Consider the following 20,539-nt stretch of genomic DNA (forward strand, 5'->3'; position numbering starts at 1 on the left):
TTCTAAATTCTGTGGGAACCCATAGTTAACCTTCAGACTCTTTGCTTTGACAAAACACTTAAATTTTTAAAAATTACACATGAGGAGCAGAGAGAGAGCGAACAGATCTCAACGATAAATAAAGCATGAATTGACTTTAGTGGCAAAAGCATGGCAAGTACTGTGGCTAGGGCTTAATTCCCGGTGAACGAAGAATACTCGGACATTGACAGATTCAAGTAAATGAAGACGCTCGGTTGGTGGCTTCTGAGAAAAATGTTTTCCTGGCCGGGGGTGTGGAAATCAGGTTCCAATGTGTCTGTAGGTACAGCTTATTCTCTCTGATGGTCTTTCTTTTTCTTTGTTTATAACTTGATAAGACTGCATTGTTGTTCTTTCTAACCTTTTATTTTATTGCTCTTAAAACAACTTAGTGATCTAAAGATACTGGGGAAATCTGTTCTCAAGTAAAACTTTTGTTTCCAAGTGGGATGTGGGAGGTGGAGGTCACCTTGGGTACTCCCTGCTCTGCGGATTTCTGAGTGAGAAGACACCTGCTTCAGTTGACACGCTGAAAACAAGCTAAACAGCTAGAGCTTTTTCTTTTGATCTCTCCCATGGTGTGGGATTTCCTCACCTCACATTTGCTGAGCATTGATTTCCACTGCAGATATAAGGTGTCTGAGTTTGTCACTGTTTCCCCACACTGTTTGTCAACTTTTACTTTTTGTTTAATCAGGCAGCCCCATGGGGGTGGAATATTATTCATTGTTCCAAGTAGTGCATAATCAGACAACCTGAGGATGTTTGCAGCCTTTGATGTATGAAATTGTGTCTCTCTCTGGGGACTCCTCAGCTGTAGATTTGATGGGTGTTTTCCATGTTCGCTTTGCAGGCTGAGCTGTCTACTCTTTATGAGGCTGGGAGATGAGGTGTTGGGGAGAAGAGATGAGAAAATTGCTTTTCTCTTTTTTGCTAACCTATGCATTTGTTTTTAAGATACTTGCAGAATACTGAAGAAGACAATCTAGCTTTGAAGTCTGTACTTATCCTTCTCCCCATACTTACACCAATTGATTCTGAAATGACCCAGTGGCTGGGACTGGCTGGTTGGGGGCAACTTCTTCTTTATCCTTTCTCTATGTCCCTCCAGAAGCTTCAGTCTCAACAGTAGGGACTGCATTTTATTAACAAACAAGTTCCATTCTGCTGTCAAGAGTATGTGAGTAATTTTCTCTTCAGGTTGAAGAACAAAATAAAATGATCAGAAAAAAGCTAACCAATTTCAATTAGTAGAGGACTATCCTTCTTTTACACATCCCACTCAAAACTTTAAGATCAAAATGATAGAGTAAAATTGCTTTATACAACCGAAAAACTAAATCCCGTCTCAAAGAGGTTAATAACTTTCATGACAGAACCTGATTTACAAAGCACATGGGCTCCTCTTGTTCATTTTCATGCCAGCAGCCACAGTAATGATTTAGAAAACATAAACTAGATTGTACAGCTCCCCAGCATTAACCCCTTCATAATTTTCTGTTACTCTAAGGATAACATCTAAACTCTTGACCATGGCCTGTCTGGCCTGTGTGGTCTGGCCCCTTTCTACCTCCCCATCCTCATCTCCACTATGCTCCAACTGCACTGGCCCCTTTGACTCCGGGAACCATCACACTCTAACCCCAGAGTCTTTGCACATGCTATTTCTTCTTCTTGAAATGCTTCTCTTTACTCATAAACTCCATATGTGGCTTGTTTGCTCTCGGGTGATCTCAGAAAGGCCTTCCGCAGTCATGCTAACAAGAGCCCTCCCCACTATTCTGTATTACTACACTCTGTTCAATTACCTCATGCATTTATCAATAACTTTTGATTATCAGTGTGCTTATTTCCTTGTGAATTGTCTGTCTCTCCTTATTGGACTACAAAGACTATGCCTGTCTTTTATTCTTCTCTTTTTTTCTCTGTTTTCATTTCTTTTTTTTTTTAAGGTGAGCAGGAGAACTAGAAGAAACAATTATATATAGGTTTATTTTAAAAGTTATGGTATAATTTACATAAAACAAAGAAGGAATATTTTAAATTTTCAGTAACCACCATTCGTAATAAGATACAGACTTTTCCCAACATCCTTGAAAGTTCCCTCATGCCCTTCTCCAGTTAATCCCTCACCAAAGGTAACCATTTTTGGACTTATGTCACTATACCTCAGTTTTTCCTATTCTTGGCTTCTTACTTTCATTATGTTGTAATGTCTTTAAGATTCACTCATGTTGTTGCATGTATCAGAAGTTCATATATTTTTATTGCTGAATAGTTTTCCATTGTAAGAATACACTAAAAATTGTTTCTCCATTCTCTGTTGATAACGTCTGGGTCATTTCCAGATTTTGTCTTTTATGGATAAATTTGTTATGACTATTCTTGTACAACAAGTATTTTATGGGCATATTATTCATTTTGGGGGGGCATTCACCTAGAAGTGGAATTGCTGACTCATGGGGTAGATGCATATTTAACCTTATGAAAAATGACCAAAAACATTTCCATGAGCGAGGGCTTAGCTTAATTAAAGTGATTGATTTGCAGTCAATTGATGTAGGATAGAGTCTTGCATGCAGTCCTTAAAGTTTATTACAGAAAATTTATTACAGAAATTAATACTTACCTTAGTAAGTAGAATATACTTTTATTCATTGAAATACAACTGATTTTTAATTTTAGGGCTTGTTTTATTCACTAAAATATTCCTTATTCTTTATTCTAGGGCTTCACACATGGTGGTTATTTATGATCTCTCTGTTGAATGATTTAATGCTCTTTTTAGCCTTCTGACTTCCTGAGAGGCATTGATCAATTATTCAAGGGTGGAATTTGTATTGAGAAATTATGACTCTAAGGTAAAACTTAAATCATCATTATGATAAACAGACAAATACAAGAAAAATACACAAGGTAAATTGTGAAATTAGGCCTCAGCCTCAGGATTGTTTTGTCCTTCCTTTCTTCCCTCCTTCCTTCCTCCTTTCCTTCCTTCCCTCCTTCCTTCCCTCCTTCCTTCCATCCGTCTTTCCTTCTATCCTTCTTTCCTTCCATCCTTCCTTCCTGTTTTCCTTTCTGTCTTTCTTATTTTTCTTCTTTCTTTATCTTTTTCTTTTTCCATGACCACTACTTCCTAAGCAGAAAATATTTTCTACCCTTTGGTACCATAAGTTGAGCCTTGTGTGGGTTTTGGTTATAATTTTTCTTCCCGAGAGAACAGAATAATTTGTAAGGAGGGCTAGTCATTGAGCACCCATTGAAAAACTGATGGGTAAAATATGCCTTGGATCTTCCAACAGATCAAGGGTAGAACAAAGTTACATCACTCAGCTCTCCTTATTCCTGATCACGAATTCACTATGAAAACTCATTGCTTCCTCTCAATACCAGTGAGTCAGGCCAAAATCGACACTTGGTGGGTGGGCACATTGGGTGCTTCTCTCAGGGTGAAGTCTCAAGGCATCTCATTCTTGATTTGAAATGATTCAAATGGGTTGCCACTTCTCTTTTGGAACCTTTATTCCTTTGTTTTTCCTGGGAAATCTTCAGGAAGCCTCTGGAAGTTCCCTTGGATGAGTGAATCTGGGTTGTGGGGGAATGAGAGTGAGGATGGGAAAGGAAGGAAGAGAGTAGGAAGTGGGTAGCAATTACATTGATTTAAAAAATCAGATGCTGGTTTTGTGAGTAACTCCTTAAAAGCCCAAGTCCTTCCGCTGTTCATGAATATTTGCATAACTGCTAATTAATGCTTGGGAGAACTGAATCACTGGAATGTCATGGGGGCAGATTATTTCTACTAGGCCTGGTGGAATCTTCTTGTGGTGGGCATGGCCTGCCTGGGCTTCTACAACTAACATCCAGGAGCAGAAGCCCTTCCATTTCTAGCAGTTGATGAGGGTTGTAGTGCTGATGAACACTGATGACTTGGAAAGCTTTTAGAACTTAGATAGGGGTCGGGGGGAAGTGCAGACCCTTTGATTTTCCTTTCCCAGGATGGGAAAGAGCTCATACGATATGTCAATAGAAGGACTTTATAATATGTTCTGCAAAGCCATTAAGAATAATTTGTTCGTATTTCTCACCCTTCCTACTTCAAAAAACATCTTGTGTCAAGCTATAATTTTTTTTAAAGTATAATACAGGACAGGTAAAACAGTATAACAGAAACTATTTTAATGGAAAGGAGGCAACTTTACAGCAAAACTGAGATGATGTTTTCATTATCATCAGGTACTACATTTGGCCCTGACTTTCTGGGCAGTCTTAGCAAAACAATGACAACAACTAAAAGGCAAACGAAAAAGAGACAGTTCTTGTGGTTTAGTTAAACAGAACTATAAAAATTCATTTCTAACAGAAATTAACTTAGTGTATTTCCTTATAATGGATAATAACTACAGAATTTGGCAATGCCTGTGCAGATGTTCTATTGGTAGATGCCTCTTACAATCACCCAAAATTCAAGGGCATAATATTAAGTTATGCTCATTGAAGGAATTCATACGGGGAGCTAAGCTAATATTATTTTGTTTAAAGATTATCTAATTTGACATGGTATTAGAATTTTGTTGGAATTAAGAATTTATTACTAGAGTTAACTTTCTTATGCTATGGACCTCTTTTAAAATAGTATTTTACATGCATACAACAAAGTATATAAGATTACAAGGAAATTAATGATATTGAAATACAGTTATTGAACTATTTGAAAAATTGTGACATATTAATATATATTAACACATTAAATAACAAGATCTATCAGCTTCTGCATAAACTACCATAGTTTAAAATAGTGATAAATGTAAGTGCTATCTCAACAAATTTGTATAACTTTAATGTGATAAGAAAAATATCTGTGGTTTCCATTATCAGTCATATATACTGCTAATATTACTTTGGTTTATTTCGTACATTCATGTAAGAAGAGAATGTAAAATATTAGTTAGAAGTAAGCAAAAATAAAGGTGTTTTTTTTTCCATCTGAGTTCATGAACCCCTTGTATTTTATCCATGGGATCCTTGGGATATATGGACATCAGTTGATAAGTAATAACTCTGAGAAATGAAAGTGGGTAAGATAACCCATCTTCACTTAATTTTGTCAGGAGCTTGATAAGAGTCAACCCAATATTGATTGAGTGACTTAAGTAAAGATATAATTGTGAATTATGACAGAGATCCTTCAGTTTTAGATAACAAGAACAAAAGTTAACATTATATTGTAAAAACACTTTCAGTCTTCCATTTGCTTTTCTTTGTTATCTTGATTTTTAATTATTTATCGAATAACTTTTTAACAACAATGAAAAATACATCTTATTTCACTTTTCTCTCATGCCTTGGCAAAGAAGATAGAAATATAATTCTTTATGTTTGAATACATGAAAGAATGAGTGAATGAATTTGTTATTGGTATTCTTATTCTCTAGCTTCAGTCTTTCAATAAGTCTTTCTCTGAGATGCTAACAAGTAATATATAAAATTGATTACATAGAATTTCCTTGTCTTTTATCTCTCCAATCTTTTGCTTTGTGGAGATTTCAACACTTTTAGCAATAAAAAAATCATGTATTTGTATATTAAGGTCATTATATCATCAGCACCTGATTCACTGAAATTTCTTAAATTTAAGGACATCAGTGAATGACTGTCTGGTACTCAGAAAGTCCAGACAAGTGAGGCCTTTTCTTCTGCTTCCATTTTCCTTTTTTATGATTCATAGCTGACAGTGCAAAGACAGAGGTGAAAGAAACAGTGTAAAAGCAGGAAGACAGAAAGGGTGGTGAGAAGACAGAAAAGTAATAGTGAGACAAGGGGATGGAGGAGAAGAAAAATAAAAGAAATCTTTATTTGTGCCAAAAATGTACTATCATTTCATCATTCACATGGATCATTTGTAGCTGCTTTGTGTATACCTATGGGGTGATAAAGTTTCTATAAAAGGGTATCTCAAAGTGTGGACTGAAGAACGCCTGTGGTGTTTGTTTCTAATGTAGTTTCCTAGACCTGCCTCCCAATACACTGAATCAAAATCCCTGTGGGACCCAGTATTGTGCATTTTCACAAGCTTTCCAAGTGGTTCCAGTGCTCATAGAGAACCACTGATCTTGCTAAGAGGTAAAAACTTGGCTGACTCTTGCTAAGGTAAAGTGTATCTAATTTCCACCTTCTGAATTAGGCAGGAAAGAAAATCTGCTTTTTCACCCACTGATATCAACACTGCACTATAATTCAGGGATTTTGAAATTTGGCCAAATAATAGGTTAAGTGTTTTATTCATTTTAGCCAGTGATTAACAAGAAAAAATGGTAGCTTGCACACTGACTTAATTTGCATGGGCCTCTTGTTTTCCTCCTCAGCTTGTAAGAAAAGAAGGGACAGAATCAAGCTCTCCTGCTGATCCTGAGTATGTGAATTTGTTTAGGGGAGATTTTTACCCATGGGAATCTGCCAGTCATTCTTGGATGATAGCTAGCACAGGCAGAAATCTATATATTGAAGTACCTTTATATTATTCTCTAGAGAGAAAGAGCTATAAAACCAACCCCCAAATAATTTACCTCAGCTTTTGAAAGCATAGTCTTAATTATATTGCCTTTTCTTTTAGCATTGGGATTTGTCTTCCTAAGCCTCCTTTAAAATTCATTTTTTTCCTTTTTATGAAGGTACTTCATGAAGCTTAAGTATCCAAAATAGCCGTACTCACTGTAGAAGTCATCTAGAGCACTTTTCTAAGCTCTCTTTAGTCCACAATATTTCTATTAATTCCCCAGAGATACCAAACAACATTAAGAGGATCTCTGACAATCTGGCCATCTCTCTAGCCTCATTCCACATCTCAAGATCAGAAACAAAGATTCCTTAAATGTAAATGTAAAAGTAAAAAAAAATTAGATGAGAATGACACTATTTGAAGGTGCAAAATTCTGAGAGCGAAGTAAACTATCAACCTCCCTCTGATAATAAATAGAATACAATTTAAAAAGACAATACTAGTGATTTTGAAGTCTGTGATTTCTTTTTGAAGACAATTCTTCACATATGCATTTTTACTGATATTTAAGTAATTTCAAAACTGGCTATACAGCATTTAACTGAGGCACTAACCACTTTCTTGGTTTTCTTGGGATCACTGTCATTTAAAGGAAAGAGGCCTAAATCCTGGAAAAATAATCTATTTGAGAATTATGACAATTCCTTTCTACCAATCACCTGAATGACACACTATTATGCTTTTCAGGACAGACTCTTTACCTTAAGAATTAGTCAATCTACGTTACTCTGTTAACATTTTGTTATTTTATAGGTTAGATAATATAGTATCACTTCAAAGTTTAGAGTATTTTGAAGCATGAATTACAGAATTAACAGTTGTAAACAGGTTGCAAGAGATGGAGAAGTCAACCAACATCATCTTTCATCCTTCTGTGTACACAGCCTAGTGGTACTGTGGGTATCTGTTCATATTTAATAACTTCTGAGAAGTTGCTAAGTGGACTCCTAGTTGCTTCTTTTTTCATAATGTCCAAGGTTTCTTTGAGAAATTACTTTATTTATCAACTATGTAATAGGAACAAGTTTTAACCATGCAGGACTGATGAGAGTCTGTCTTAATTCATATGGACTGGCTTCTGTGTCTTTCTTATGACCTCCATACACTCTTGACTGCCAGTTCTGCTTTGCTTATCTGGATTGGGTTGGTCTGGAGTTGAAATATAACCAAGGACAACTGGATTTTTGTCCAGTGGATTATAATGTTTAAGTATTTTTACCGACTTTTGGAGAGAAGGCTGTTGAGGAAAGGTAGAAAGAACAGTTGTATATTTCTGACTCAAATGTGGTCCAAGGGGATGCCCTATGGACTGGAACATGGAAAGTGATCTTCCATTCTCTGTACTGGTTAGACTATACTTGGAATTCTGTGCCTAGTTCAGTGAGCCTCATGTAGGAATGTCCTGGACAAGCTGTGGCATGTCGAGTAGAGAATGATCAGGACACTTGAGGGGATTTTGATCCTTTAGGTAGGTAGAGAGCTCAAAAGAATGAGGGTGTGTAGTCTGGAGAAAATTAAGAGTAACAGGAAAAGAAAACAGGTTTTTGAACTAAATGACTTCCAAGGCCACACACAGGGTTAACACTGTGAGCCTAGGAAAAATCTACCCCAGTCTTGCTCTTTCTACTTGAAGTTCGTCTCCACAGTACCACCTCTTTAGTGCTCATCTAGGGGCCTAGAGGCTCTGCAGCAGTGACCTCTCCTGATGGACTCCTTTGTGTGCCTCTAGGGAGATGCCTGAGCAGCATGTCTAAAACAAACCAGTTTCTACTTCATCAGAGTGAGCCCCTGGAGGGGGGTCAAGACAGTCTGGAAGGTCATCCAGCAGACACAGTCTATTCCAGTGTTTGTCACAAAAGCTATTGTTCAGGTCAACTGACTTGCCCATAATTCCAGAGCTGAGCTTCTTAACATACTTTAATAATCATTGTTCAGAGTATCACCCGGTGTAGGTGAAGATAAAGTTACTGATTTGCAGACTTTTGGACTGACTCCCCAGAACCATATGTAATCACTGCCGCCCACTCAAAGCATTATTTCTCTCCCTCTTGGCATAGGCTGGGGTGGTATCATTTAGAGTCCTGTCTTTCATCTTCCTCCACTTGTGCATAGGCAGGGTTTCCTATCCTCACCTCCTCCTCTCCCTCCCTGTGACTCTCTGTCATGTGATGGAAACATGCAGAGGAGATTCATCTTGTTGTGCTGCTCTCTGGGGAGGCCTATTCTAAAGTACAAACAGAAGACCAAATAGAATGATTGAAAAAAATAGTTGAGATTATTTTGAATAGTCAATAAGAAAACCATGTTGCAAAACCCACATCAAAAGCCCAGCTGTTGGGGTATACCTTTCAAATTCCACTAACTACAGAGGCCACATACAGGGAGGGGGCCATGGAGGAGGAGGTGTGCTTGCAAAAAGACAGAAAAGGTCAGGGTGATAATGAAAAATAATTGCTAGAAAAACAAGCTGGAGGCCGGGCGCGGTGGCTCACGCCTGTAATCCCAGCACTTTGGGAGGCCGAGGCGGGCGGATCACGAGGTCAGGAGATCGAGACCATCCTGGCTAACACGGTGAAACCCCGTCTCTACTAAAAATACAAAAAATTAGCCGGGCGTGGTAGCGGGCGCCTGTAGTCCCAGCTACTCGGGGAGGCTGAGGCAGGAGAATGGCGTGAACCCGGGAGGCGGAGCTTGCAGTGAGCCGAGATCGCGCCACTGCACTCCAGCCTGGGCGACAGAGCGAGACTCCGTCTCAAAAAAAAAAAAAAAAGAAAAACAAGCTGGAAGCAGTGAGGCAAAATATTTCTATCACAAAGACTGAAGAGTTTAGCTGCCAAGAGACATAGGTGACCTCTTATTGTCATCTTACTTTGTGAGCAATTATTTTCAGAAAGTCTTTCTGGTGGATATCACTGGAAAATATTTTGATGAGCTTTCCCCCATCTGAGCTTTTTTTTTTTTTTTTTTTAAATCATGAAATAAACCCTACAGATCCACCTTAGAAAAGGGTGATTTTGTAGCTTGGCTAAGTGAAAGTGGGCAATGGGCAGTTTGAGCATGGTGGGGGCTGGGGGACATTTGAGAGCCTTTTCCCAGACTCAATCTGAGAGTGGAGACTGAGCAGTTCAAAATGATATCCTGGAGGTGCTTTGGATGATGCAGTGGGTTTGTTTTTGATCTGGCTCTCATCTTCTTGGCAAGTGTGCTACCAGCAATGTGTTTATGAAGCCACATTGTCACAATGTTTGCTTTGACTCTGTTTTGCCCGGCAATGTCAGTGACTAGACACATTTTTCTGTGATGTCACCAAGCTCCAGGAATGATTGCTTCTGAGCACAGAGAGATCACGTGGAGACACGTGATCAATTCCTGACCTGGGAATCACATGGAACAATTCTATTTGTACCCATGAGCCTCAATCATTAATCTAGCAGCATTTTAGTCCTGTGGATGTGTGTGATTAGTTGAAGTTATTTAAAAGAGGTTCCATAGAAAGCCTGAGGGTTAAGGGAAAGGACTAAGCAGCAGCTCCCTTGCTAATGCCAGCAGGAAAGACACAGTTTCCTCTTTTAGGGATATTGATATATGAAGGCAGTAATTTGTGGTTAATGGTTAAGGTTTTGGGGCCAGACCATTCTGGGTCAAATCTTACTCTTACAAATGCTATGACCTTGGGCAATTTTCTTATCCACAAAACAGTGATAATGCTAGCAATTACATGTGGCAGTTAAGATGCCTTTGGTTGTGAGCAACAGAAAGTTTAACCCAAACCAGCTTAAAGGAACTATGTTTGTGAAGTCCTGAAGTGGGCCTGACTTCAGGTGTGGTTTGATTCAGATGCTCACAATGCCCTAAGGTCTCTTGTGTCATTACTCTGCAATTCTCTTCACTATACTTTCCTTCTGCTATTAGCTATGTGCTCAGGCAGCCTTGCCGCAAGGCAGCATCAATGATTCTGGACCTTATGTCCTCACATTGCACCATATAAAAGAGGGGAATTTCTCTTCTGGTAGTTCCCATGGAAGAAGGAAAAGTCATTTCTGAGAAGTCTTCAGCAAAAGTCTCCTTATGTCTCAAGTCCTGCATTAGTTCACAAACACAACTCTGAACAACCATTGGGCCAAAGAGTTCAAATATTAGACTTAAGGCTAACTCCTAGTTGGGAGAGTGGAATCAAATTCATATCAACCACCTTGCAAAGGATATAAGAGAGGCAATTCCCCAAAGGAAAATATGCATATTGTTCTAGGAAAAAGAGAAAAATGATGCTATCAGGCATCCAACAATAGTAGGGTGGTTGTGAAGCGCTTAGCAAAGTGCCTGACCCTTGGAAGAACTAGAAAAAGATAACCAGTGATTATTATGCTGGTGTGAATGTGGAACCACTGTTTCAGCCTAGAAGTGCCACCTCACCTTTTCTTCTTTCATCTGTAATTCCTGCCTCTCCTCTTTACCACATCTGGAGAACTGGATTCTAGCCTTGGTGCTGTGTCTGAATTGCTGTGTGGCCTTGGCCAAGTCGCTCAATTCCTGTCTGTCAAAAGAGAAGTTTGAATGAAATATGAGCTGAGGCACGTCTCCAGAAATAAAGTGGCTTTTTTTTTTCTTGGCTCCCTGGAAAGCCTTACATAAAGTCGGTCATTTGGGGAGATGTTTGCGGTTTAACTTGAAGAAAAGACTTTGAAGTCAGGCATATCTGGACTTGCTTGGCATCTGCTAGTGCTATGATAGTAGGGAACTTAATCACTCTGAGCTTCAGCCTCCTTTATGGTACAAAGAAAGGAGTGATAAATAATACCTTTCAAGCCTGACTTAAATGAATATGATAGAGTTCAAATGAGGCACAAAAATTTATACACTGGCAGAACGAATAGAACAGTGACTTGCATTTAAAAAATGTATGTTGATTATTTCATCTGCTTTCGTTTTCAACATCCTATCATTTGTCTGATGATTTCATATTTTTCCCCTTCAGGGATATTGAGATGTTGGAAAGCTAAATTGGGAGGATACCTTTGGATGTATCATGATGTGAAATCAGAGGGCACATGTCTCCCTCCCCTACCAGGCTGATGATCATCACATATAGGGCTAAATGAAAAATAAGTAAATATTCAACCAATATTAGTAAATATTCAATCGATATCCCTCCTTTTCTTCTCTCTTTCTTTTCTGGATTTTTGTTTTGTTTTTGTTTGTTTTTTTTTTTTAAATCCCTGCACATACCTTTGGCTCACTGGTTCTACCTAGTGGCAATTGTAGGTATTACTTAAGCTTGATGGTGGCATCAGTCTTTAAAGAAGTGTATGATCCTTAAAGCCGAACAGAGTCCTGAAGTTGAGATCCTGCCCTATCCCAACTGTGGAGCATCAGCAGTGAGGCTCAATGCTGGGGGAGCTTGGAAGAAACGTGTCCTGATAATGAGTGCTTGAATTCTTCTGCCAGTTGGCAGCTTAGTCAGCAAAACCAGGTTTTGGGGACTGGAATTTTGTAATACAACAGTGCTTTTTACCTTAACAAGCTGAGATGAACTGATTAAGATGAGTGTGAAAATCTGAGGGGAACATAAATTGGAGAGCAGGGGTTATTGAGCTGGTAGATGAGATTGACAAGACAGCTCCCTAGCTCCTATAGAATAGCGGCTGTTATTGGCAGGATCCTCAGGTGCAACCATGTGTCCAAACACCTGAGTGCTCTGTATTAATGTAAAAATGTTGATGATGTACTAAACCTCCAAAGACTTTGAAATAATACTTTCTATGGCATTCCTATCACTGTAGGAACAGGATAGATTATTTTACAAGTACAAACACTTCAATAATGGAAAGGATAGAATGCAGAATTGTTTTAGTTTCAAAAGACTGCAGGACTTCTTTGCTCTCTAGGTGGTAAATACAATGGAGGAAGATGTGTCCTCAGGGTTAATTCCAGCAGGCCTGGAATTAGCCTGAGGCATTTTGCTAAAGTTCCCGCATGGCACTACCCTGGTTACTGAATACTAGTGTTGCTCTGAGGAGTGTGAGGCAGTTTGTACTGGCTTGTGAGAGTAAGATTGTTGATTTGCACTTGATGTTAGTGAGCTTTCTGGAGGGCTCTGCTATTGGGTTGGTTGCATAGCAGGAATATGTGGGGTTTTTTGTTTGTTTGTTTGTTTTGTTTTGAGATGGAGTCTCATTCTGTCACCCAGGCTGGAGTGCAGTGGCACTATCTCAGCTCACTGCAGCCTCTGCCTCCTGGGATGCAACGATTCTCCTGATTTAGCCTCCTGAGTAGCTGGAATTACAGGTACATGCCACTAGAACCGAGTAATTTTTGTATTTTTGGTAGAGACAGGGTTTCACCACGTTTTCCAGGCTGGTCTCCAACCCCTGACCTCAGGTGATCCACCTGCCTTGGCCTCCCAAAGTGCTAGGATTACAGGTGTGAGCCACTGTGCCCAGCCAGGAATATGCGTTTTTGATCAGCAAAATATGTGTATAAAAGAACAACCCTCAGTTGAGATTCCATTTTGGGCTTTCTGGTTCCAAGTTGTTCCATGCATTTGTAATTGGAGAAAGTGTGTTCAGTCACAGCCTTCACAGAGCGGGTATAGTAGGAGCCTGTACCTGGTCTCCCCAGAGCCGTTCCTGTAAGTCAGGCTTTAGCCATGATGTATATCCTTATATTAATGCTGTTACAATAGTGTATCCTTTGTGTGAACCATCATCATTTTGGGTCCTGTGACTCTTCTTTGGCAGTCCAGCCCTGTTTAACTGCCACTGTTTGTTAGTGATGGAGTAACATATTTTTCTGTTCTTGCACAAAAACCCTGGATTTTGACCAAGGAGCCAATAGTAATTAGCTTTGCAACCTTGGGTAAGTGATCTAATTTCTCTAGCTTAGGGTTTTTAGGCCATGCAATCAAGAAAGCAATATTATCTACTTTATCTATTTAACTTCGGTGTGAAAGAGATTAACTTTGAAGCACCATGTAATAATTTATTATCTTTATTATTATAAAAATTAATACTAGTAATAGTTTTAGTAATAGTAGTAATACTTTTAGGTGATTGTAGAATAATTAGGCAGTATAGAGAAACCCCTGGAATTGGAATGTGGGGTCACGAAAAGTTGCCTTTTAAAAAACAAAATAATGAAAATCAATCAATTATTAGTACATTTTGTTTGCCAAGCTATTCCCGGAACCAAGCCAGGTCCGACTGCGTTTTCTCCAGTCCCAATAATGAGAAGCAGACAAACTAGGAAAGAAGGGAATTTATCACTGTAACCAGATACACAGAGAAGGCCGGAGGTAATTCCACCAACTCAAAGTGTTACAATTTTCTTAGCGCTTATATAGGTTGGGGCTATGTGCCTATGTGCAGTATAGCATTCGCCTAAGTCTATTGGTAACTGATTCTGTTTCAACTAGAAGGTCAGAGGCAAAAATTGCTTGCTAAGTCCAATTAAAAGGGCCCCAGTACCTTCAAGGCCTGTCTACTGCGGTACCAGAGTGATTATTTCTATCTCATCTCCTTTACAGCTTGGTCCGGAGAGCTGCCTTAGACTCTCCGATGAATCTATTCAAACAGCTGCCTCTGTTACCTTGACTTGTCTCAGATTTTGTCAATGCAAGATGGGTCCTGGCAGTAGGAATGTAAGACTGTCTCTATTATTTTGGTTTGCTCCAGGTTAGGGAGAAGCCCATGCAAGGTTCCTACTGACCATATGTTTCATTTCTAGTTTTGATGTCTGGGCATTGATTTCCCTAGGTTTGACTATTTGCTCAATGGTAAGACAGTGCTATGGAAATTTGTCTGTGTAACTGGAGTGCTATGTAGGCCTGTCTGTGTGACTGTCATGCAGGCCTGTCTGTGTGATTGTCAGGGAGAATTGGCCTGCCACAAAGCCATCTGTAAAATATCCTACTCTAAGGAATAATTTCTAACTATGTTGCTGATGGGAATTTAAGAGTTATTCACATACAAATAAGAATAGTTACATGTAACTAACTTTTACTGACTAAAATGTGTATTTTACAGGCAGGGCACAGTGGCACACACCTGTAATCCTAGCACTTTGGAAGGCCAAGGCAGGCAGATTGCTTGAGCCCAGGAGTTTGAGATCAGTCTAGGCAATATGGCAAAGCACTGTCTCTATAAAAAATACAAAAATTATCCAGGCATGGTGGTGCATTCCTGTAGTCCCAGCTCTTCAGGAGGCTGAGGCAGGAGGATCACTTGAGCCTGGAAGGTTGAGGCTGCAGCGAGCAGAGATCGTGCCACTGCACTCTAGCCTGGGCAACACAGCAAGACCCTGTCTCATACACAAAATATGTATTTTAGTGTCAGACAACAATAATATTTTGATAGTAAGCATTTTTCTCTTTAGCTATTACTATTCCATGTTGCAGACATCAGTTTTGTGTTTCGCATGTTAAAGTTTGAAGTGGCCTTAAAGGACATCTAGTTTATCCCAGTCCTTGAATGTAAACAGATTTTAAAAACGAAGAAGCGACAATCCAGGTGGGCTGGAACTTCTCCACATGAGGTGCAAATTATTAGCAGGGTAGAGCGTAAATCTCAGATCTGACTTCCCATCGCATGTTCTTTCAGATATTGTGGCTTGATTGGCCTTATTCCAGACCCTTGGAAGTCCAGGTGTCAAGAGTAGGGAAGGCCTTTTTCAGTAAGAACTTTGCAGTCTAGTGGAAAAAAACAGGTAAGGACTGAACTCTGACATTTTTACTTTCTCAGATTTCTTTTTAAGGGCCCACAGGGAGTCAAATCTACAAGACATAAAATTATGTTAAACAAGTTTTTTTGACCCAGTATATTGTGGCTTACTTTTGCAACCAGACTCTGGTATGGCATCATGTAACAGAAAACAGACCCCCTTGTCTTAACTGAAGCATTCCTTTCTACTGACTCCAAGTTTTTAGACAAAGCTCAACTCTTTCAACCAATTGCCAACTAAATAATCCCTAAACTCACCTGTGTCTTGTAAGCTCTCACTGCCAGATGTCCTGCCTTTTTGAATAGACTCAATGTACAACTCCCATGTATTCGTTTATGTTTTGACATGCAATTTCTGTCTCCCTCCCAAACGTTAACCCAACTGCCTTGGGCACACTTTCTCGGGACCTCTTGAGACAGTTTCCCCAGGCCATAGTCACTCATATTGGCTCAGAATAAACCTCTTTAAATATTCTGGCAGAGGTTGATTTTTTTGTTGTTACCAGTAACTGGCACCTATACTAAAAGAATGTAATTAGGGATACAGTGAATATATAAGCAACACACATGTTTTAGGAAAACAGTTGAAGAGATACTTTACTCTTCCTGAAAAGGATTAAGGAAGTCTTATAGAAAGTGTTTTTTTATATATAGCAGTATTCATTTTCAGGACTCTGAAATAACAGGGAAATCTCCCAGGAGCTTTGGTATGGTGACCCATAAATAGTGACCTGAAAGCATGAGTATGAGATGCTTTTAGCAATTTCAGTCCAATATGCATAGCACAGTCTCATTTAAGAACAATATATGTGTATGTCATGGACATAGAGAATGGAAAAATAGACATTGGAGATAACAAAATGGGAGAGTGGGAGGGACATGGTAAGAGTTGAAAAATTACCCATTGGGTACAATGTTCACTATTCAGGTCATGGGTACACTAAAAGAACAGACATCACCACTAAGCAATATATACATGTAAGAAATCTGTGCTTGTACCCCCTAAATGTCTAAAAATTTTAAAAATTAAAAAATAAAAAGAATATTTGTGTATTTGTGTGTGTATAATCACAGAAAGAAGTCTCTAAAGTTATATAACAAAATGACTGTAGTTTTCTGGGAGTGGGAGGGGTGGGGTTAAGATGAATAGGGGTGGGGTAGGCTCAAAGCATTCTGGGAATGAAAGTGAAACTTCTTTTAGTATTTATGTCCTTTTTATGTGATGAAATTATGTGAGGTTTTTACTTTACTGTGCATATTTCAATTAAGAAAAAGATGTGCAAGTCTCTTTCATCCTTGTTTTCTTCCATGGGTTTCAAATCAGAATCCTTTGTACTCTTGATGTAATGGCAAATATTTTGGGGAAACAATTTATTTTTTAATTCTCTCTTTATTAGAGCTCCTCCTCTCAAAGATTCTGGCATAACATGTGGAGCCCTGTCACCGGATAAGAAGGCGCACTATTCTATCTCTCCAATTCTACCCTTGGACCAAAATCAGGCACATGGACTCTTTCTGCCTTTGAATGACTTCCTTCCCTTGTATTTGAATAACTTTCTGCCTTTGAATAATTTCTTTCCCTTGTATTTGAGGCTACTTGATAGATTCTCTAGATGAATTCAGATAGGACTTACTTTCAGAATGAATACAACTCAGGCTATTAATCTGTGACCTCAGAATACAGAAATTATTATCCCCATCATGTGGATGAGGCAGCTCAGAGAAATTGAAAAGCTCACCGCAGTCACCTGCCAAATAAATGGCAAAGCAAAGCTATCTGAAGCGAGATCTACCTGACCCCCTAAGCCCATGCTCTCCCCTAGCACCATCTGTGTCATGTCTAATGTACAGTTGTCTCATGCTCTAAGATTGTAGGGGTGCTGTGGTCACCTAGCAGCAAACCTTGCTGGCAAACAAGCACAGCTTATAAGCAGAGAACTTCCTCTTTTTGAAGCCACCTCAAACTGCCTCTGGGAAGGAATTCCCATAGCTACTTGGAGGAGCCTAGGTCCTCAGGGCCTGCATGAAAACTGGAGTGGACATAGGACACAAGTTGTAAGCAGAGAAGACCTCACTTCAGATAGCTTTACTTTGCCATTTATTTGGTAGGTGACTGGGGCAAGCTCTTCAATTTCTATGACCTGCCTCATCCTCATGATGGGGATGATAATTCCTGTACACTGAGGTCACAGATTAATAGCCTTAGTTGTATTCATTCTGAAAGTCAGTCTTGTCTGAATTCATCTAGAGAATCTACAAGCACAGGTGGTAAGCAGAGAAGACTTGCTTCCTCTTGAAGCCACCTCAAACTGCCTCTGGGAAGGAATTAGCATGGCTACTAGTAGAAGCCTAGGTTCTCAGGACCTGTATGAAAACTAGAGTGGACCTAAGGAGAAGAGGGCTAGAGACCTGACACTCAAGCTGTTTGCATTTACAACCAGTGGTCTCTATATTACTGATTTTCAACTATATCCCAAAGAAGAGTTCAGTGAAAATATTTCCTGGATTCCATAAAAATGTGACTCATATATTTTTAAAATATATTTTAACTATTTAGAAAAACTTTTTAAAAACCTTTTAAAAATAGTCTGCAGAACAAAACTTCTTTTGCCGTCACTGTACACATATATGAATACCTTATGACAATTAAGGAAAGATAGCTGTACACCAGCCTTGCTTTGAATTTAGAGCTGAACATGTCTGCTGGTATAAAATTGTATCAGTAGATATGTGTGTATATTCCCCAGTTGTGTCAAGCACAGATCAGACACCTCTCCTCCCCATGCTGTAATATGTATTACAAATGCAATAACAAGTTAAAGTGGAAGAAGATGGGTAACACAAAACCTTACTTTTGATCATTTTAGTGTTTAAGTTCTGGGTGATTTTGTCTGATTTATATTTATGATAATGAATAGAGTCAGTTATTAAATATTGTTGGTGACTTGACTTTAGAACCAAAAATTAAGACTCATGATTTTTTAAGTGCCTCGATCAATTTAATTGAAGCTATCCTGAGATTTCAATATGAGCTGTTAACAGTTACAATTGCTTCTCTGTTTGACTTGATTTCTAAAGGTCTGGTTCCCTCAATGTGTAAGTCTCATGTAAGCTTAGCAAACCAGTAATTTTCCTTCTCAGCCTTCAGTTTTCTGTCTGTACATTGAAGCATTTGAAACAGATGATCATCATGATGTGCTTCAGCTCTGTAACTCTCTGAGGGTTCTCTTTAGTTCACAGCTTATTTACACAGTTAATAAAATTCATTTCTGGGAGCTCCTCTGCATGTCATCTGACAACTAATGTCAAAACGGCAGAAGTATACTAAATAGTAAAGTGGCTTATAACTACAAGTAGATTAAATGCTTACTTGTAGTTTATATTAGGTTCTCACTGACATTGCAATTTGTTGAGAATTATGTAAAAACTGGAAGAATTAAACATAGCTGAGTAAATGTGGCTGGGATGCACCTCTTCCATGGAGAAAAACCAAAATATTGAGTAAACCTTCACACTTCGAACAGAACTTTTGAGAGAAAACACTGAAATTTAATAGAGAAGCAACAGAAGACCTCGTGGTTGAAGAAAGAGGAAACAGGGCTGCCTGCTTGGCATCAGGACTGACCCCTAGACCCAGGTCACACCCAAGGAAGCAGTGAGTAAAGGAACCCTGGGACACCTCATTCCTGCTGTGGACCTCTGAGCTCCTAGCTACAAGAGTTCCTATGACCTCTACAGACTGGCAGGGGGAGCTGCCTAGAGAACACACCAAGGGACTGCTTGAAACTGCATGCTAAAGATCTTTTTTTCACAGCTGCAGCAAAATGCAACTCTGGGTGCCCACCTTCCAAGGCTTTGCATCCTGTCCTAAGAAGTTGCAGCTCCTGTTGTCTGCCAGGCCAGGAGAGAGTGGAGGTCAGGCACTCATGCACCCAAGACAAGCCCCAATGCCATTGCCACAGGACTAAGATGCATCCGAACCACATGCCTCCATCCCTGCTGGTCCCTCCTAAGACTGCCTGGCCATTCCCAGGAGGAGCTGGGAGGAGACCCACAGTATAGCCTTTACTGCTCCGCCTGAGTGGTTTGTTGGTGGCAGCCTGGGAGCACTTTACTCCCCCATCATAGTTGGTGCTAGACCCCAAGGAGACAGAGGGTAATTAAGTTGGCCTGGTTCCAATTTTCTAGGCCTCAAGCACACCACCCAGAAGTATGGAGATAAGATCTACGGCCTGATCTCCAGTGGAGGATCTCCTCTGTTAAAACACAGAGAAGAGTGTGTCAGGTTCATGTGGTGGTGCAGGAGCTGGGCACCCCTCTCTTCACAACGCTGGTGGGAAGGGTGTGGCCTGATAGCGATTTCTGCTGCAGGGTGTCTCGTGGTCTAGAATACATGGAATAGCTTGGTGATCTTGGCATGGATGGGTTGAAACTAACCTAATGGGTTAGGCCTGTTGCTCTTGGGGTTGTGGGAGGTGAGTGGGCCTGACAGCTGCCTGCTGCTCTGAAGACCCTGGGCGCCTCTCTTCCCTTGAGAGTGCCCTGTGTTGCAGGCGAAGGACCTCTGCCCCTCCCTGGAGGGTTGTCCCAGAGGCCTGAGAGCTACCCATAGAACCTCACCAAGCTTGGTGCTTGCATCCAGCCAGGGGAGCTTGACTGTGGGCTCACCTAACACCGCCTTGCTCAACTTTCCCCTCTTCAGCCACCTTGGCAGCAGAGCATGGGAGAGAACCCCTGAGAGCTCCACACTCTGCCCCTCACCAGGAACACCCTGGTACATTCCCCCATCAATAAAGTCCAAGTAAAAATTCCACTGCCATCACTGCAACTGCCTTTTGCCTGCAAGCACCACCTACTGGCCAGGAGGTCAAATTGCATGGTCCATCACAACTTCTGCTGACATCAGTGTATAGCACTCAATTGGCTCTTACCAGCAAGTGTCACCTGCTGGTCTGTAGGGTGAACTGCACAACCCCAATATGATTCCTGCTGACACAAGGGCACAGTGCTGGGAAACAAGCCTCTCAAAACTTCTACATCCCCATTTCTATAGGAGGTAGTGAGCTTGACCACATGCACAGCACACAAATACTACAATCTACAAGCAACTAGCATTTGTGAAAACCACTACACTAAGACTATCTATGACCAAAGAATTCATATAGAGCCTTGGCTCCCTAAAAACACATAGAAACAAAACCAAAGGACTCTACCCCATATATGCAACAGTCACACCCTCAAGGGGGGA

At 40.0% G+C, this 20,539-nt stretch overlaps 2 annotated features.

Annotated features, from left to right (window-relative positions):
- Window positions 9,736-10,030: an enhancer, noted in NCBI's record as "tiled region #4605; HepG2 Activating DNase unmatched - State 8:EnhW". NCBI's record gives its function as "activates a minimal TATA promoter and a strong SV40 promoter by Sharpr-MPRA in HepG2 cells {active_cell/tissue: HepG2}" and the evidence as "EXISTENCE:reporter gene assay evidence [ECO:0000049][PMID:27701403]".
- Window positions 20,282-20,331: a silencer, noted in NCBI's record as "silent region_1553". NCBI's record gives its function as "represses an Ori minimal core promoter by ATAC-STARR-seq in GM12878 lymphoblastoid cells {active_cell/tissue: GM12878}" and the evidence as "EXISTENCE:reporter gene assay evidence [ECO:0000049][PMID:35858748]".

Source organism: Homo sapiens, chromosome 1 (assembly GCF_000001405.40).
Source record: "Homo sapiens chromosome 1, GRCh38.p14 Primary Assembly".
Classification (NCBI taxonomy): Eukaryota; Metazoa; Chordata; class Mammalia; order Primates; family Hominidae; genus Homo; species Homo sapiens.